This window comes from Homo sapiens, chromosome 19 (assembly GCF_000001405.40).
Source record: "Homo sapiens chromosome 19, GRCh38.p14 Primary Assembly".
Classification (NCBI taxonomy): domain Eukaryota; kingdom Metazoa; phylum Chordata; class Mammalia; order Primates; family Hominidae; genus Homo; species Homo sapiens.
In genome coordinates, this window is record NC_000019.10 from 14,789,109 (window position 1) to 14,807,654 (window position 18,546).

General features: G+C 41.2%; 1 protein-coding gene and 1 pseudogene across 2 annotated transcripts in view, besides 1 other annotated feature; one reads left to right on the forward strand and one right to left on the reverse strand.

Annotated features, from left to right (window-relative positions):
• TMEM167AP2 (TMEM167A pseudogene 2) lies at nucleotides 3,157–3,847 on the forward strand (annotated as a pseudogene).
• Nucleotides 9,407–18,546, reverse strand: part of OR7C1 (olfactory receptor family 7 subfamily C member 1) — a 36,671-nt gene continuing 27,531 nt past the window's right edge. The window contains exons 3-5 of one of the 2 annotated variants that reach the window (NM_001370485.4): nucleotides 11,425–11,656; nucleotides 11,148–11,336; nucleotides 9,407–11,041 (exon numbers count right to left, since the gene is read on the reverse strand). In NM_001370485.4, the coding sequence (NP_001357414.2) occupies nucleotides 10,066–11,028 (963 nt within the window). In that variant the 5' untranslated portion in view covers nucleotides 11,029–11,041; nucleotides 11,148–11,336; nucleotides 11,425–11,656 and the 3' untranslated portion in view covers nucleotides 9,407–10,065. Of the gene's footprint in view, nucleotides 11,042–11,147; nucleotides 11,337–11,424; nucleotides 11,657–18,546 lie in introns of those variants that run through there. The other variant, NM_198944.1, reaches the window with a different exon arrangement.
• Nucleotides 10,955–12,154: an enhancer, noted in NCBI's record as "MED14-independent group 3 enhancer chr19:14910875-14912074 (GRCh37/hg19 assembly coordinates)". NCBI's record gives its function as "activates an origin of replication core promoter dependent on BRD2, BRD4, P300/CBP and CDK7 cofactors, and independent of MED14, by STARR-seq in HCT116 cells {active_cell/tissue: HCT116}" and the evidence as "EXISTENCE:reporter gene assay evidence [ECO:0000049][PMID:35650434]".

Consider the following 18,546-nt stretch of genomic DNA (forward strand, 5'->3'; position numbering starts at 1 on the left):
TCACCTTATAGCCATACATATTCACAGTTTTATAAAACATCTATTGACAAAATTAACTTTGTGCAGAGAAAAAAGCATTTGATCTGGATGTCTAGGAATTCATGAGAGTATACCCTTAATGAATTAAGAACTAATTAATGCATTTGCTTTCCTGACACTTTTATTTATAATTTTAAAACATAGAAAAAATTCAGAAGATTGATACAATAAACACTCATATATCATCCATAGAGATGGAACAATATTATTATAGTGGCACCCTAGAAAACATCTCTCTCTATATACACAGATTTACACATACAAAACATTGGTAGTCAGTGGCAGATATCATGGCACTTCCATCTTTTTTTTTTTTTTGCAGCAGAGTTTCGCTCTTGTTGCCCAGGCTGGAGTGCAATGGCCCGATCTCAGCTCACTGCAACCTCCGCCTCCCGGGTTCAAGCGATTCTCCTGCCTCAGCCTCCTGAGTAGCTGGGATTACAGGCGTGTGCCACCACACCTGGCTAATTTTGTATTTTTAGTAGAGACAGGGTTTCTCCATGTTCGTCAGGCTGGTGTCAAACTCCTGACCTCAGGTGATCCACCCACCTCGGCCTCCCCAAGTGCTGGGATTACAGGTGTGAGCCACCGTGCCCGGCCAGCACTTCTGTCTTAAATAATTCTTCAACAAATTCTAAGAATAAGAATGTTCTTTATATAACCATGATACTATTATTACACCCAAAGGAATAAATAATTTCACAATAACTTTTAATATGTAATGCATAGTCAAATTATCCCGCTTGACTCCAAAATATCTTTTATACTATATATTTGAACTAGAGTTTCCACCAAAACTGATATTGAATTTGATTGTTTTTCTGGTTTTGTGTCTTAATCTAGAGTAGCTACTGGCCACTTTTTTCATGATAATGACTTTAGAAGAGTCTAGGTCAATTTTCTTGTTGAATGTCTCATGTTCTGGATTTGCCAGTTTGTTTCCTCATCATGTCACTTAACTTCTTCTGTCCCTCATATTTCATGTAGATTGAAGGTTAGATCTAGAAGAACGGGGCCACCAAACTTTTTCTATAAAGAGTCAGATAGTAATTTTTTTTTTTTTTTTGGTTTTGTGGCCTTATAGTCTCTGTTACAACAACTCAACTCTGACATTGTAGGTTGAAAGCAGCTGTCAATAATACATCAGTGAATAAGTGTAGCCATGTTCCAATAAAACCATATTTGTAAAAACAAGCAGCAGGGTGAATTTGGTCTGCATGTTGTAGTTTGCCAACCTTCAGTCTAAAGACTAGATTAGATTAAGATTAGGCTGATTTGTCAATAATTCTTTATTTGCCACAAACATGATTTTGTAACTTCATGTCTTATCAGGAGATATATAATGTCAGGTTGCCCCTGTATTGATAATGTTAAGCCTGAGACTGAGTTCAGATAGTGACTATCAGATCTCCACATTGTAAATGTACACTTTGGCACTTGTAATTAATCAGTAATTTGTGAGATGATTCTTTGGCACTGTAGGGATACCCTGTTCTCCAATATGCAACATTTTTAGTGGTCATTTACTGGATATTGAAAAATCATGATTTTCTAATTCTATCATATCTTCTACATTTATTGGCTGGTATTTTATGTATCACTATGAACTCATGGATATTTTTTATTTAATAGGTTATAATAATTTAAAGTCATTTTCCTTGATGTTCCAATCGGTATGAATTTGGTCAGTGGGAGCCCAGAGGGAATATTATTTTAGGTGGAACTGCTCTGGATTTAGGTATCATGCCGAGGATGAAATAACGTTATCTATAAATACATTTTACAAAATGTGCAGTAGAAATATATGCCTACTTCCATAGCTCAGTTTATAAAATGGAAGAGTGAAGAGATTCTATTTACAAAGTTCTGATTTTACTCTAGCCAGGAAACATTAAAAAATTATCTGTAAGCTCTGTAAAGGCAGGAATTGAATCTTTATTGATCTGTGTGCTGCACTTGGTGAGTAATAAAAATATATTTGTTGAATGAATTAAATTAGTGACTCTTTAGAAAAGGAGAGTGAAGAACATGGGGCATGCAGGTAGGGAGCTCAGGTGACCTGGTTTTCCTGTAACTGAGATGTTTTTCTGGGATTGGGGCTTTTTGTACTAAACCAGGAAAGTGCTGGGCAATTGAGATCAGTTGTTTGCTTTACATGAAGGTCCTGGACTGAACAATAATTTCCTCTCTTATGCTATTTTAAGAAAGTCTGTTAAGGCTGGTTTTCCTGGTTATATATTTTCAACTTGAGGAAGATCTTTTTAGAAAAGGAGGTTGAAGCAGAGGACTTAATCCAAAGTATGTGTGAAATTGGGCCATAGCACCTTACCTGCAATGGGAGTTAGCTGAGCATGCTCTACGGATCAGAACACCTAAATTCTACAGCAAATGAGTGTCAAACATTTCCTGGAAATTTTCTTTTATAATGGTGCCATGAAAAGTTATTTGTAACAAACATGAAAAAGCATTTTTAAGATACTCCTGGCTCAGTGAATGACAGTTCAATATTGTCCTCATTTTCCAGGAGACAGGATCATCTGGTTTAGCTGCTCATTATAATTATCCTGTGAAAGAAGATGTACAAATACTACTGTATAAAGAAGTACAAGGCTTGTACATTGAAAATTATGAAACATTGTTGGAAGAAGTTAAAGATCTAAAGAAATGGAAAGACATCCCATGTTCATGAATTGGGAGGCTTAGTATTCATAAGATAGAAGTACTCCCCAACATGATGAATTTAACATAGTCCCTACCACAAGCCCAGTTAACTTTTTTGCGTAAATTGACAGGATGACCCTAAAATTTATGTGGAATGGTAGAGGATTCACAATAGTCAAAGAATCTTGGAAAAGAAGAACCAACTTGAAGACTCACATTTCCTGATTTTAAAACTTACTACAAAGCTACAGTAATCAAGACAGTGTGGTATGGGCATAAGGATTAGACATATAGCCCGATGAAATAGAATCAAGAGTACAGAAATAAACTCTTACATTTATGGTCTATAGATTTTCAACAAGGATGTGAAGACAATTCACTGGGGAGAAAGAATGGTCTATTTAAGAAATGTTTCTGGGACAACTGTATTTCAGCATGCAAAAGAATGAAGTTAAGCTTCTGCTTGGGGCCTGGAAGGGTGATGTGGCTGTGGCATCGCCGGCCTCGCTATGTCTGCCATTTTCAATATTCAGAGTCTATTGACTGTAATCTTGCTGCTTATATGTACCTGTGCTTATATTCGATCCTTGGCACCCAGCCTCCTGGACAGAAATAAAACTGGATTGTTGGGTATATTTTGGAAGTGTGCCAGAATTGGTGAACGGAAGAGTCCTTATGTTGAAGTATGCTGTATAGTAATGGCCTTCAGCATCCTCTTCATACAGTAGCTGGGGAAAATGCCAGAATTTAATTGCCATCAGATTTCATTGTGAACAAGGACTTACTGCAGAAAATAATGGAAAGGATGTTTAACTCTTTTATCTCCGAACATTGAATGAGATAAATTTCCAGATGCTGTTCTCTATTTTAATGTTATTGGACCAATATTCTGTATAAATAATTAAGATGTAACCATTTAATAGTCTGTAACAATGAACCTCAGTACTGTCACTACAATATTACATTCTGCAAATGTTATTCTGTTGTATCAGATACGAAATTTTAGTGAGGTATCTCTAAGGCATATAGTAGAAAACAAAATTGGTTAATTAAGTTCGTTTCACTGTGATTTGGAAATGATTTAATCTTTATAGAATGAGACCCTTTTTTGGACTAGCTTTTTTTATTAAAATGGCTCAATATGTGTAAAAAAAAAAAAAAAAGAATGAAGTTAAGCCCCTACCTCACACTGCATTAAATAACCAACTCCACATGGATCATAGGCCTAAAAGTAAGAGCTAAAACTGTAAAACTTGTAGAAAAAAAACCAGAAGTAAATCTTTTTGACCTTGGTTTAGGCAGTGGATTTTTAGATATGGTATCCAAAGCACAAATGACAAAATACAAAATTAGATAAATAGGACTGCATCAAAATTAAAAATGTTTATGCATCAAAATCATCTGGCAAGAGACTTATATCCAGAACATACATAGAACTTTTACAACTTAACAATAAAATTCAAATAACCCAATTAAAAATGGGCAAATAATTTGAATAGATATTTCCCCAAAGAAGATATGCAAATGGTCAATATACATTTGTAAAGAGTCTTATCATAAGTCATTAGGGAATGCAAATTAAAACCACACCGAGTTACCACTCCACATCTGTTGGAATGGCTAAAATAAAACAAAAGACAAGCAATTAACAAGTTTTGATGAGAATATGGGGAAATTGGAACACTCCTACATTGTTGGTGGAGATGAAAATGGTGCAGTCACTAAGAAAAATATTTTGGCAGTTCCTCAATATGTTAAACATAGCATTACCATACAACCCAGTAATTCTACTCCGAGGCATATATTCAAGAGAAATGGAAACATATGTCTACACAAAAATTTGTACACAAGGCTGGGCATGGTGGCTCACGCCTGTAATCCCAGCACTTTGGGAGGCTGAGGCGGGCCTACCACCTGAGGCCAGGAGTTCGAGACCAACCTGGCCAACATAGTGAAACCCGTCTTACTAAAAATACAAAAAAATTAGCCAGGTGTGGTGGTGGGTGCCTGTAATCCCAGCTACTAGGGAGGCTGAGTCAGGAGAATTGCTTGAACCTGAGAGGTGGAGGTTGCAGTGAGCCAAGAAGGCGCCATTGCACTCCAGCCTGGGCAACGAGTGAAACTCTGTCTCAAAAAAAAAAAAAAATTGTACACAAGCGTTTATAAGAATATTCATAATAGTCCAAAAGTGGAAAAACTGAAGTGTCTCTCATATTGATGAGTGGATATCAAAATATAGTCTATCTATACAATGGAGTACTATTTGGCAAAATAGATAATGAAATACCAATACATGCTACAACATGGATGAACCTTGAAAGCATTAAGCTAAGTGAAAGAAGCCACTCACAAAGTCAAAATAGTGTATGATTCCATTTATATACAATCGAGAGAGAGAGAGAGACAGAGAGAGAGAGAAAGAAGTTAAGTACAACTCAAGGGATTCTGACTTGAGATGCTGGAATAATGGAGTTTTGCCATGTACATAGATGGGAAGATTGTGAGTGGAGAAGGCTGGGAGTAATTAGGATTAAGATTTTGGGCATGTCAGGTTTGAAATGTGTGTTAAGCTTCCAAGTGGAGTTGTCTAAGAGGCAGTTGGGTCTATGAATCTGGAGTCATCTTGTCTGAAGATACGCATTTTGGATTCTTTAGCCTCCATATATGATCTTAAGTCTATGAGACAGCATGACATTAACTAGAGAGACACATGGTGAGAGACAGATAGGGAAAAGTGAGGACAGGTAGGGAAAAGAAGAGGCTAGAAGACGAAATCATGGAATGTTGCAGCACTGAGAACTTGAGAAGATGAGGAGGAGCCAATCTGGGTTTCAGCTTTAACACCAACCAACTGGTACCTGTTTATATCCCTGGTGATCTACTAGTAGCCACATCTGATGGTCACTCATTTAATTATCCTGACATTTCACTTCCCAACATTTCTTCCATGAAACTCTTCTACTCTTTTGACAATTCTCCCACTCTCTCAGCCCCGCCCACCCCCTAACGCTGACCTTTTCTATTTATCCAACTTTACTAATTAATGTTTAATATGTGTCTTGTGGCTTACAACACAGACACATGCACATTGGCCTGGGGCTGCAGATTATTCAAGGAAGCATGCTCAGTGCTCATCAGTAAATGCCTGGAGTGTTGGGTGCATTCTTGTGTCTCACAATTTAGAAGCAGCAGTGATAGAACTGAGTGAATATAGAATGTCAGTGGAAGAGGAGTTGTTGACAAAGGAACTCATTCCACCTTCTAAGGAGTATAGAAAACTCGTAAGGGTGAAGACAGGAATAAACCTTTTGTCTAAGAAATGACTAGTGGTTTCATGGAAGAGTGTTGAAAATTGATCGATTCCTTCAAAATAACTAATCATAGACGTTATAGGGAAGGCAATTTTGACTCAGATTTTTCAATCTCTAATGCTGGGAGCTGTCCAACAATAGAGTTGATTGCACCATTGTAACTGCCCAATGGGTTCACCTTGCCTGCTGCCTAGACAGAGCTGCTTTATCAAGACAGGAGAATTGCAATAGAGTTTAAATTCATGTAGAGCCAGCTGTACAGGAGACCGCAGTTTTATTATTACTCAAATTAGTCTCCCTGAAAATCTGGGGATTGGGGTTTTAAAGAATAATTTGGTGGGTAGGAGTTGGGAAGTGGGGAGTGCTGATTGATTGGGTTAGAGATGAAATCATAGGAAGTCAAAGCTGTCCTTTTGTGCTGAGTCAGTTCCTGGGAGGGGCCACAAGACCAGATGAGTTAATCAGTCTGGGTGGTGCCAGCTGAGCAATGGAGTACAGGGTCTGCAAAGTAGCTCAAGCACCAATCTTAGGTTTTACAATAGTGATGTTGTCCCCAGAAGCAATTTGGGGAGGTTCAGAATCTTGCAGTCTCCAGCTGCGTGACTTTCTTTTTTCTTTTCTTTTTTTTTTTTTTTTTTTTTGAGACAGAGTCTCGCTCTGTCGCCCAGGCTGGAATGTAGTGGCACAATCTCGGCTCACTGCAAGCTCTGCCTCCCTGGTTCACGCCATTCTCCTGCCTCGGCCTCCAGAGTAGCTGGGACAACAGGTGCCCACCACCACGCCCGTCTAATTTTTTTGTATTTTTAGTAGAGACGGGGTTTCACCATGTCAGCCAGGATGGTCTCGATCTCCTCACCTTGTGATCCACCCGCCTCGGCCTCCCAAAGTGCTCAGGTTACAGGCGTGAGCCACCGCGCCCGGCCAACTGCGTGACTTTTAAACCATAGTTTCTGATCTTGTGGCTAATATGTTAGTCCTACGAAGGCAGTCTAGTCTCCCAGCAGGAAGGGAATTGGTTTTGGGAAAGGGCTGTTACCGTCTTTGTTTCAAAGTTAAACTATAAACTAAGTTTCTCCCAAAGTTAGAGCCCAGGAATGAGCAAGGACAGCTTGGAGGTTAGAGGCAAGATGGAGTTAGTTAGGTCAGACCACTTTCACCGTCATAATGTTCTCAGCGATGATTTTTTGCAAAGGCAGTTTCAGCATCACTCTCCTCAATTAGAAATGGAAGGACCAGGCCGGTTGCAGTGGCTCACGCCTGTAATCCTAGCACTTTGGGAGGCTGAGGCAGGCAGATCACAAGGTCAAGTGATCAAGACCATCCTGGCCAACATGGTGAAACTCTGTCTCTACTAAAAATACAAAAATCAGCTGGGCGTGGTGGCACGTGCGTATAGTCCCAGCTACTCAGGAGGTTGAGGCAGGAGAATCACTTGAATCCGGGAGGTGGAGGTTGCGGTGAGCTGAGATCGTGCCACTGCACTCCCCACTCCAGCTTGGCAACAGAGTGAGACTCCATCTCAAAAAAAAAAAAAAAAAAAAAGACAAAGAAATGGAAGGACCGTTTCCACTAATTGAGTGAGTTACATGAAAAGTTGACCATTCATTCAGTCTTTCCTGTTCTACATCACTCCCCTGGAAGACGACGGCACTGAATTAGCTTTAACATGTGCGTGATGGTGAATAATGACATAATCTTACAATGGCGACTTCACATAAGGGTGTTACTCAAAATCTCTGTGAGACTTAACTACAGAGTAGCTGAAAGTTTTTCTAGCTTCACAGCTTTGTTAATTCTACTTATTTTTTCAAGATTTGCATATACTAGTTTAGGTTTACCTATTCAACAAGAATTTACCACACTTTCCTTCTATGTCAGAGATTTTGCTACACAGAGGGGGTATGAAGGTCCCACCCATCATGAGAATTAATATTTAGATTACTAGGAAAGGATCACTTATTGTTTGAGTTAGCATTCTATGTATAGAACAAAACCCTTCTAATTACACAGTAATAAGAATGCAGTTTTGCAAAGAATTTCATGTACATTAGAAAATTTTAATGGTATGCTGAGATGCTTAAAAAAAATCTAACTTAGGCTGGGTGCTGTGGCTCATGCTTGTAATCCCAGAACTTGGGGAGGCTGAAGCAGGCGGATCACGAGGTCAGGAGATTGAGACCATCATGGCTAACACAGTGAAACCCCGTCTCTACTAAAAATACAAAAACAAAATCAGCTGGGTGTGGTGGCATGTGCCTGTGGTCCCAGCTATTCGGGAGGTTGAGGTGGGAGAATGGCATGAACTCGGGAGGCGGAGCTTGCAGGGAGCCGAGATTGCGCCACTGCACTCTAGCCTGGGTGAGAAAGCAAGACTCCATCTCAAAAAAAAAAAAAAAAAAAAAAATCTAACTTAGACGAGATGAAGTGAGAGCAATGTTTTAATTCAGGGGTCAGCAAACCTTCACAGTGAAAAAGGCCAGAGAGTAAATATTTTAGGTAGGTTTTCCAGGTCAGATGATTTCTGTGGCAGTTACTCATATCTGCTCTTGTAACATGAAAGCAGCCACAGATAATATGTACACAAGTGGGTGTGGCTATATGCCAATAAAATTTTATTTGCAAAAAAACAAAAAAAAACAGAAATGGGCAATTTGGGATGCTGGTCATTCTTTGCATTTAAAGCTAGTCTTGATGAAACTGTCTTTTATGGGTTGAATTTTCATTCTCTACAAATTCATATGTTGAAGTCCTTACCGCCAAAACTTCAGAATGTGGTCTCAGCTATTCTGACCTTTGTGAAGCCAATGTTTAGTTTTTTCATTGCAAATATCTGAGATGTTCACAATAGTTTGCATTGCTTATGTGATCATATGTTACATTAAAGCCCTCAGTTAGAAATAGGGCTGCGGTGAATGTAATTAGTTAAGCTAAGATGAGGTCCATAGTGGAGTAGAGTTGGCCTCTAATCTGAATGTTGTCCATATAAGAAGGGGAAATTTGGACACAGACACACCTAGAGGGAGAACATCACCTGAAGATGAAAGCAGAGATTGGGGTGATGCTTCTATATTGTCAAGGAAAGCCAAAGACTGCCAGCAACCGGCAGAAGCTAGGGGTAAGGCATGGAACAGAATCTTTCTCACAGCCTTCAAGTGGAACCAGCCCTGCCAACAACTTGATTTCAGGCGTCATAGTCTACAGAAATGTGAGACAATCAATTGCTATTGTTTAACTCACCCAATTTGTGGCACATTGTTACAGATGCCCTAGAAAGTTAATACACCGTCTTCAAAAATTGTCAAAATCAAGATGAAGCAGCATAGTTGTCTGGGGTAACACCTGAGGTTTGTTGTCCCACAGCCATGGAAGAAGACTGGGATGCGGACACACCAGAGTGAGGTTAAGAGCAGAAGTTTAATAGGTGAGAGAAAGAGAAGAGCTCTATGTGCAGAGAGGGGTCCCAGAGAAAATGGGTTGCCAGTTCCATGGTGAAATGCACAGGGTTTTATAAACTAGCTTGAGGAGGTGTTGTCTGATTTACATAGGCCATAAAAGATTGGTTGGATCAGGTGTGCCATTTGCATAGCATGTGGAGAAGCTGGCTGCCCCACCCTAATCTTTTATTATACAGATGGGTTCTTTACCTGGGCAGCCCCATGTTGCCTGTTCCTTTGCTGTACACATGGTTGACAAAGAAAAGGAAGAGGGAGCCTCCATGTTGAACATGACTGGTCCCCAGCTAGCCCTTTTCTATTGGCGCAGCAGCCGGCATTCACTCATGCAAGCTTCCAGCTTGCTTATCTATGTCTGCAGCTCGATTTTTCAGGCTGTTCTTTGTTAGAAAAGAAATGATTTTGAGGGCTGCTTTTTGTTAACGGGGAAACCTTGCCAAGGACTCTGTGGCCCTCCCTATCTACCTAAATAATTTCTTTCTAGCTCCTGTATCAAAGACACGATAAGATATGGTAATTCCAGAACTAAAAGAGAATACATTGATGTTTGGATACATTCAAGAACCACCAAAAGTGCCTCCCAATGGTCCAAGCCTTGCTACTTATGAAAGTCCTGCAGTGATGTCACCATTAAAAAATGTTGCCCTACTGAGGAGTCTCCCCAGGGCCCTCTTCATGTCCGTGTTCCTCAGGCTGTAGATGAAGGGGTTCAGCATGGGGGTGACCATGGTGTACATCACTGAGGCCACCAGACTTGTCCTAGAAGATGGTGTGGCTGCAGAACTGAGATAGACCCCAAAGCCCGTGCCATAGAACAAGGTGACCACTGAGAGGTGGGAACCACAGGTGGAAAACGCTTTGTGCTTTCTCCCAGCTGAGGAAATCCTCAGTATAGAGAAAACAATTTTATAGTAAGAGAAAAATATTCCAGTGAAGGAAATCACACCCAGGACGCCAGTTGCAAAGTATATCACCACGTTATTAATGAAGGTGTCAGAACAGGCGAGCTTCAGGACTTCAAGTAGATCACAAAAAAAGTGTGGAATTTCCATTTCGGTGCAGAAGGACAGCCTCAAAACAGTCAAGGTCTCGAGCAGGGAACCCATGACACTGATGCACCAGGACCCCAGAACCAGCAGTCCACAGAGCTGGGGGTTCATGATGACCGTATAGTGCAGGGGGTGACAGACGGCCACGAAGCGGTCATAGGCCATCACGGTCAAGAGTAAATTGTCCAGGCATCCAAATGAAGTGAAAAAAAAAATCTGACTGAGACAGCCTGCATATGTTATGAATTTGTTCTGTGTCAGTATATTCAGTAACATCTTTGGGACAGTCGTGGAGGTAAAACAGAGGTCAGCAAAAGACAGGTTGGAGAGGAAGAAGTACATGGGGGTGTGGAGGTGGGAGTCTGAGCATATGGCCAGGATGATGAGCAGGTTCCCGGTGAAAGTGACTAGGTACATGGAGAGGAACAGCCCAAAGAGAATGAACTGAATCTCTGACGTTGCTGAAAATCCCAGGAGGAGAAATTCTTGGGCATGTGTTTGATTTCCTGTTTCCATGGGGATAAAATAACTGCCACAAGAGAGAAAAAAGCAACAGTCAATTATCAACACACTGGCAACATGGAAATTTGGTTACATTTAATTTTAAGTGAAGGAATCAATTAACAAAAGATTGCCTTTTTCTTGCTGTCTTTTTCTGGGGCATCTGAAATTCTTCCATCCTTTTCTTTGCTACCATCGGGATCTGGAAATGTAGTGTTAGTTCCATAATACTTGTACCCTCTATAGCCTGGCTTCTCAAAGTGTTGTCCATGAACCAACAAGATCAACAAGAGTTTCTTTAAATGCAGAATCCCTGGTCAGACCTACGGATTCAGAATCTACATTTTAACAATATCACCAAGGGTTTCACATGCATATTAGTGATATAGGAGTTAAGAAAAAATCACTTACGCAGATAGTAAGGTTATGGGAGTCCTCAGTGAGGCTTTTCTTTTTAATGAAAAGCAGCCCCAAATCATTTTCTAACAAAGAGCATCCTGTAAAGGCGAGCTGCAGACACAAACAAGCTGGGAGCTTGCACGGGTGAATGCCGGCAGGAACTAAGGACTAGAAGTTTTCAAGATGGTGGCTCCATCTTCCCTTCTCTTTGTCAGCCACGAGCAGACAAGATGGCGCAGATCAACTGGAAAGTCCAATTGCAAAGTAAGATTAGGGTGGGGCCACCAGCCTTCCCTGAGCACTATGAAAATGTCATACCTGATGGAACCAATCTGTGAGCCTGATGTAAATCAGACACTGCCTCCTCAAAGGGGACTATTAAACTCTGCGCATTCACCACCAGCCTGTCCTTTCCTCTCGGAGACCCTTTTCTCTATGGAGAGAGGTGTTTCTCTTTTTCTTCTCTTCTCCCTATTAAACCTCCGCCTCTGAACTCCTCGTGTGTGTCCGTGTTCTAAATTTTCCTAGTGCATGCCAATGAACCCCAGGGTATATACTCCAGACAATGTAGCAGCTTCATTAATATTTGAGTAGCAATGGTCTTGGACACTTACAGCTTCTAGTTCTCAGCTCTTCTCACCTTTGTTCTCCTCCATGTCTTCCCTCATTCCTCATTACCTAATATGCATGCAAAACAGGAGCTCAATAACTATGCTTTTTCCCCCTGCTATCTGCATGGAGTTGATACTTTTCACACATTGTTCTCAGCTATTCCAACCTTTGTTTATAAAGCCAATGTTTCATTTTTTCAGTGCAAACATCTGACATGTTTACAATAATTTGCATTGTTTATGTGATCATATGTTACATTATTTTACATGTTCGTTTTGTGAGTTTCTGTTCTGTCACTGGAAAGCCAGTCAGACATTATGCTTTAAAAAAATATTTTGGTAAAATATGGTTAAAAAATTTTATAGGTACTGCGTATTAAATTAATGCGATTTTAGGATATATTTTGAATTTTAGGTAGAGAACTCCAAAGTACCAATACTTCACAGAAACATAGATAATACCGTGGCAGCTGTCATAATCAACTTGATCAGTGTATTAGTCCATTCTCACGCTGCTGTAAAGAACTACCCGAGACTGGGTAATTTATGAAGAAAGTGGTTTAGTTGATTCACAGTTCTGTATGACTTGGGAGGCCTCAGGAAACTTACAATTATGGTGGAAGGGGAAGAGGAAGCAAGCATCCTTTTTCACATGGCAGCAGAGAGAGAGAGAGCGCGCGCTAAGGCGGTAGCACCATACTTTTAAACAACCAGATTTCATGAGAATCCCATCACAAGACAGCACTAGGGGAATGGTGCTAAACCATTAGAAACTGCCCCTGTGATCCAATCACCTCCCACCAGGCCCCTCCCTCAACCTTGGGGATTATAATTCGAGATGAGATTTGGGTGGGGACACAGAGCCAAACCATATCAGTCAGGAATCTGGAAAACAGTCAAAGGTTTAGAGCAACAAAGTGAATCCTTAATTTTTTAAAAAAGGTGACTGAAACCAGGTTGGACAGCTTTGTGGCAATTTATCATTTTCCCACCATCTTTCTTGGCTCAGTGGCATTGCTGAATATGACAACCCCACAGTCCCACCAGTTCCTGGTGCTGAAGATAGCGGAAATGTATGGCAATGTTCTGTTTTAATATGTCCAATGGGCCGGGCGTGGTGGCTCACGCCTGTAATCCCAGCACTTTGGGAGACTGAGGCGGGTGGATCACCTGAGGTCAGGAGTTCGAGACCAGCCTGGGCGACATGGTGAAACCCCGTCTCTACTAATAACACAAAAATGAGCTGGGCGTGGTGGCACACGCCTGTAATCCCAGCTACTTGGGAGGCTGAGGCAGGAGAATCGCTTGAACCTGGGAGGCGGAGGTTGCAGTGAGCCGAGATTGTACCACTGCACTCCAGCCTGGGTGACAAGAGTGAAACTCTGTCTCCAAATAATAATTAAAGAAAGATAATAATTCCAATGGACTGCTGAAGGAATAACACAAGGAGCTTACCTTTACCTACCTTGAAACCTCTCTCAAAGGAGATTGTTGAAAACATTTAAAGACAAATGAACTATCCACAAGTGTCTGGGGAAAAGCATATGAGTAGTGGTAAATGATGGACACGCTGACATGTCTTGGAAGAAAGGCTGTGGAGTGAGATATTTGGGACATATGACTTTGAAAATTTCTCACGTATTCCTGGGAATGTAGAGGTGAAGCTCTGTCGTTGTCTGGGGTAAATACCCAAGGTTCCTCATCTCACGCCAAGGAAATTGAGTACGCAGACACCCAAAAAGTGGGTTTAGAAGCAGAGGTTTAATAGGCAAAAGAAAGAGAAAGGAGAACGTGCCTGAGTGGGACTTCCTGCTGGCAGCAAAGTACACTGGATTTTATAGACTGGCTTGAGGAGGCAGTGTTTGATTTAAATAGGGCCCAAAGATTGGTTGGGGCCAGGCGTCGTGGCTCACGCCTGTAATCTCAGCACTTTGGGAGGCTGAGGCAGGTGGATCACCTGAGGTCAGGAGTTCAAGACCAGCCTGGCCAACATGGTGAAACCCCGTCTCTACTAAAAATACAAAAATTAGCTGGGTGTGGTGGTGCGCATCTGTAATCCCAGCTACTTGGGAGCCTGAGGCACAAGAGTCACTTGAAACTGGGAGATGGAGGTTGCAGTGAGCCGAGATCACACCACTGCACTCCAGCCTGGGTGATAGAGGGAGACTATGTCTCCAAAAAAAAAAAAAAAAAAAGAAAAGATTGGTTGGACCAGGTGTGACGTTTACATAGTCCGGAGGAAGCTGGCTGCTCCATCCTAATCTTCTATTATGCAGATGGGGTCTTTGCGGGTCGCTGCCATGTTGTCTTCTCCTTACTGTACACGTGGTTTGCAAGGAAAAGGGAAGATGGAGTCACCATGTTGAACATGCCTGGCTCCCAGACAGCCTTTTCCTATTTGTCACAGCTGCCAGCATTCACCCGTGCAGGGTTCCAGCTTGATTATCTATATCTGCAGCTTGATTTTACAGGCTGCTTTTTGTTAGAAAAGAAATTATTTGGGGGCTGCTTTTTATTAAAAGGGAAACCTTACCAAGGACTTCCTTACCCTCCCTATCTACCTAAATAATAATAATAATAATAATTTTTTTTTTTTGAGACGGAGTGTCGCTGTGTCGCCCAGGCTGGAGTGCAGTGGCGCGATCTCGGCTCACTTCAACCTCTGCCTCCTGGGTTCAAGTGATTCTCCTGCCTCAGCCTCCTGAGTAGCTGGGACTACAGGCGCGTGCCACAAAGCCCAGCTAATTTTTTGTATTTTTAGTAGAGACGGGGTTTCACCGTGTTAGCCATGATGGTCTTGATCTCCTGATCTCGTGATCCACCTGCCTCGGCCTCCGAAAGTGCTGGGATTACAGGCGTGAACCACCGTGCCTGGCCTAAATATTTCTTTTTAACTCCTATATCAGAAAGATTCCTGGGAATGTAGGATACATAGGTGTCCTACCCAGGATTGCATGCTAAGTAAACATCTAGAAGGCCCTGACCTCTCACCTGTAGCTGATATTCAAGCTCTGTGCAAGTAGGAAGTTAAGGCAAAGGCTGGAGTTGAAAAATGCTCAGCTGAGTGGTAAAGGCCTGTCTGAAAGCACATACAGAGCCAAACTGCAAAGGTTGGGAGATTTTGGTTTTGGGCTCCACTGTTTAAGGAAATCTCTTATCAAATCACTCTCTGGCCATTAAGCTAACAGCCTAGAGACTTCAGCAACCACACACTGGACAAATATGCAATCTTTATAAAATTAGAAGACTCATTAGGCAAGTAAACAACTGCAAATTACAAAAAGCAGCAACCATAAACCCCAAGGAGGAGAGAAAATTTGATTTCCAGAGTCGCCACACTATAATATTCAAAATATTTAGTTGTAATGAAATATTATGAGACATGCAATGAAACAAGAAAGTATAGCAAAGGAAAGAATAATTAATTAGTAGAACCTGACCCCAAGGAAGCCTTTACTGAGGCTCAATGCCTGGGCTTCTTCGTTTACATGCAATCTCATTTACATGAAATAGCCACAATACATAAACGAGTCGCAGGATAACGAGTCGCAGGGACTGGGGAGCGGGGGTAGGGGATGAGGATAAAGTGCTACTGTAATGTGTAAGTGGTTTTATTTAGGAGTAATGGAAATGTTTTGAAACTAGATAGAGATGGTGGTTGCGCAAAACACAGAATGTAGTGAATGGCACTCAATTGCTTGCTTTCAAGTAACTGGTTAATTTATGTTATATTAATTTCATCTCAATAATTTTTTTTTGAGACAAGGTCTTGTTTTGTTGCCCAGGCTGGAGTGCAGTGGTGCAATCATGACTCACTGTAGCCTTGACCTCCTGGGCTCAAGCAATCCTCACATGTCAGCCTCCAAAGTAGCTGAGACTACAAGAATGCACCGTCACACCCAGAAGCTAGTGGATCTAGATAGATAGGAAGTTTGATTGCCTATTGAATTCCTATTAAATTCCTCTGCTATGTATATGGCCTCAATGTTTGAATTCACAAGCACGGGGGTTAGAAGGAACATTTCTTGTTCAGCTTTGATCACTACGCTGCAGAATGCCCAAAGAAGGTCCCCAGTCTGTACTCCTCCTGCCTGCAAAAAAAAATCTGAGAGTTCTTGGGGCTAGAGCTTCCTCACACTCAAGGGGAATGAGATGCACATTGATTCAAGGCTCATTGAGACCCTGGTGCCTTCTGTAATCTAGGACCATCCCTGGAGCATCTTCATGTCTCCCATGATGGTCCACTGAGGCAGGACCCAAGAAACAGGAAAATAATTTTTTTTTTTTTTTTTTTTTTTTTTTTAGACAGAATCTCACTCTGTCACCCAGGCTGGAGTGCAGTGGTATGATCACAGCTCACTGCAACCTCCGCCTACTGGGTTCAAGTGATTCTCCTGCCTCAGCCTCCTGAGTAGCTGGGATAAAAGGCATGTGCCACCACAGCCGGCCTTGTTTTGTATTTTTAGTAGAGACAGAGTTTTGCCATGTGCCCAGGCTGGTCTCGAACTCCTGACCTCAAGCGATCCACTTTTCTCGGCCTCCCAAAGTGCTGGGATTATAGGCGTGAGCCACCATGCCCGGCCTGGGAAATTATTTCTGTGTGACAAAAAATAATCTGAATGACCAGCTTCATTGGGTTTTCTTTTTCTACCTTCCACATGTGACCATCCATTAGGGATCTAGTAATAACATTTTTAAGTCACAAACTTTGAGAGGGACCAGCTATTTTTATTATCCCATTTATATAAGACTGCTATCTAAAAATTACAACAGTTCTGGGACATATACTGATATGAGTCAATCCAAAAATGTAATTTGGACATCAAAGTAAGACCAGATGGTGACTTGTTAATTGGAGACACCAAATTAATGTTAATAATACAGAAAATTGTCCTCTAACTATGATGGTATTATACAATAAGTCTGTACTATTTAGAGTCTAAATGTTCTTGTCACTCAATGAGATGTGCTTTAACTCAAGACAAGGTTTACTGCTATTTTTTTCAGGGCTCCTGAATACCTGGGCAATACCTAGTGTCCTTGGCTCCCCTCTACTGCTGTGTGGCTGTTACTGTGTGTGAGGTCTTTAGCCTACATTAAGGAACATTTCAAGAATCTAAAAATGTGTTTTTGGATTCCTTCAAGGGAATTGGCTGGAAACATTGCTCCTTCCATCACACAATGTGACTGCTTTAAGAGAAACAGTCATTAATGTATTTTATGCCTTCATGTCAGGAATGGCCATGTTGCTAAGTTTTATTTTAAGTTCCAGGATACATGTACAGGACATGCAGATTTGTTACACAGGTAAATGTGTGCCATGGTGGTTTGCTGCACCTGTCAACCCATCACCTAGGTATTCAGCCCTGCATGCATTAGCTATTTATCCTGATGCGCTCCCTCTGCCAACTCCCACTGACAGGCGTCAGTATGTGTTGTTCCCCTCCCTGTGTCCATGCATTCTCATTGTTCAGATCCCACTTATGAGTGAGAACATGAGGTGTTTGGTTTTCCATTCCTGTGTTAGTTTGCTGAGGATGATGGCTTCCAGCTTCATCCATGTCCCTGCAAAGGACATGGTCTTGTCCCTTTTTATGGCTGCGTAGTATTCTGTGGTGTATATGCACAAAATTTTGTTTATCCAGTCTATCATCGATGGGCATTTGGGTTGATTCCATGTCTTTGATATTGTGAATAGTGCTGCAATAAACATATGTGTGGATGTATATTTATAATAGGATGAATTATATTCCTTTAGGTATATACCCAGTAATGGGATTGCTGGGCCAAATGGTATTTCTGGTTCTAGATCCTTGAGGAATTGCCACATTGTCTTCCACAATGGTTGAACTAATATAGGTTACCACCAACAGTGTAAAAACATTCCTATTTCTCCACAGTCTTGCCAGCATCTGTTATTTCTTAACTTTTTAATAATTGCCATTCTGACTGGCATGAGATGGTATCTCATTGTGGTTTTGATTTGCATTTCTCTAATGATCAGTGATGTTGAGCTTTTTTTCATGTTTGTTGGCCGCATAAATGTCTCCTTTTGAGAAGTGTCTGTTCATGTAGGGATGGCCATGCTTCTATTAAGCACTTTTTTGTTTTAATGTTATGGATCCTGCTAATCTTGTAATTGATCATTGTGCCAGAGATTGCCTACCCAATATATCCATTCTTTTTTTGTTATTAATAGAACTCAATTATATTTGGAAGTGGTCATGTGTCCAGCTAAGATACTATATTTTCCACTCTCTATTGCAAAATCATGGAGAGTTGAAGCATAGGAATTTATTTGATGGGAATCCTGGAATCCTCTTTAGAATCCTTCCCCTCTGTTCATCTCTTTCTTGCCTGGGATTTGCACATGACACTGGAATTCCCTTAGCTGATATATCTTGGAAAACAACACATTAAAGATGGGGCAGCAGAGAGATAGAGTAAACCCTTGTGCCTCAGGTTAGCACAGAGTGATCATGGTGACCCATTCTTTTAGGGAGGAGACACATTAACTCCTGAT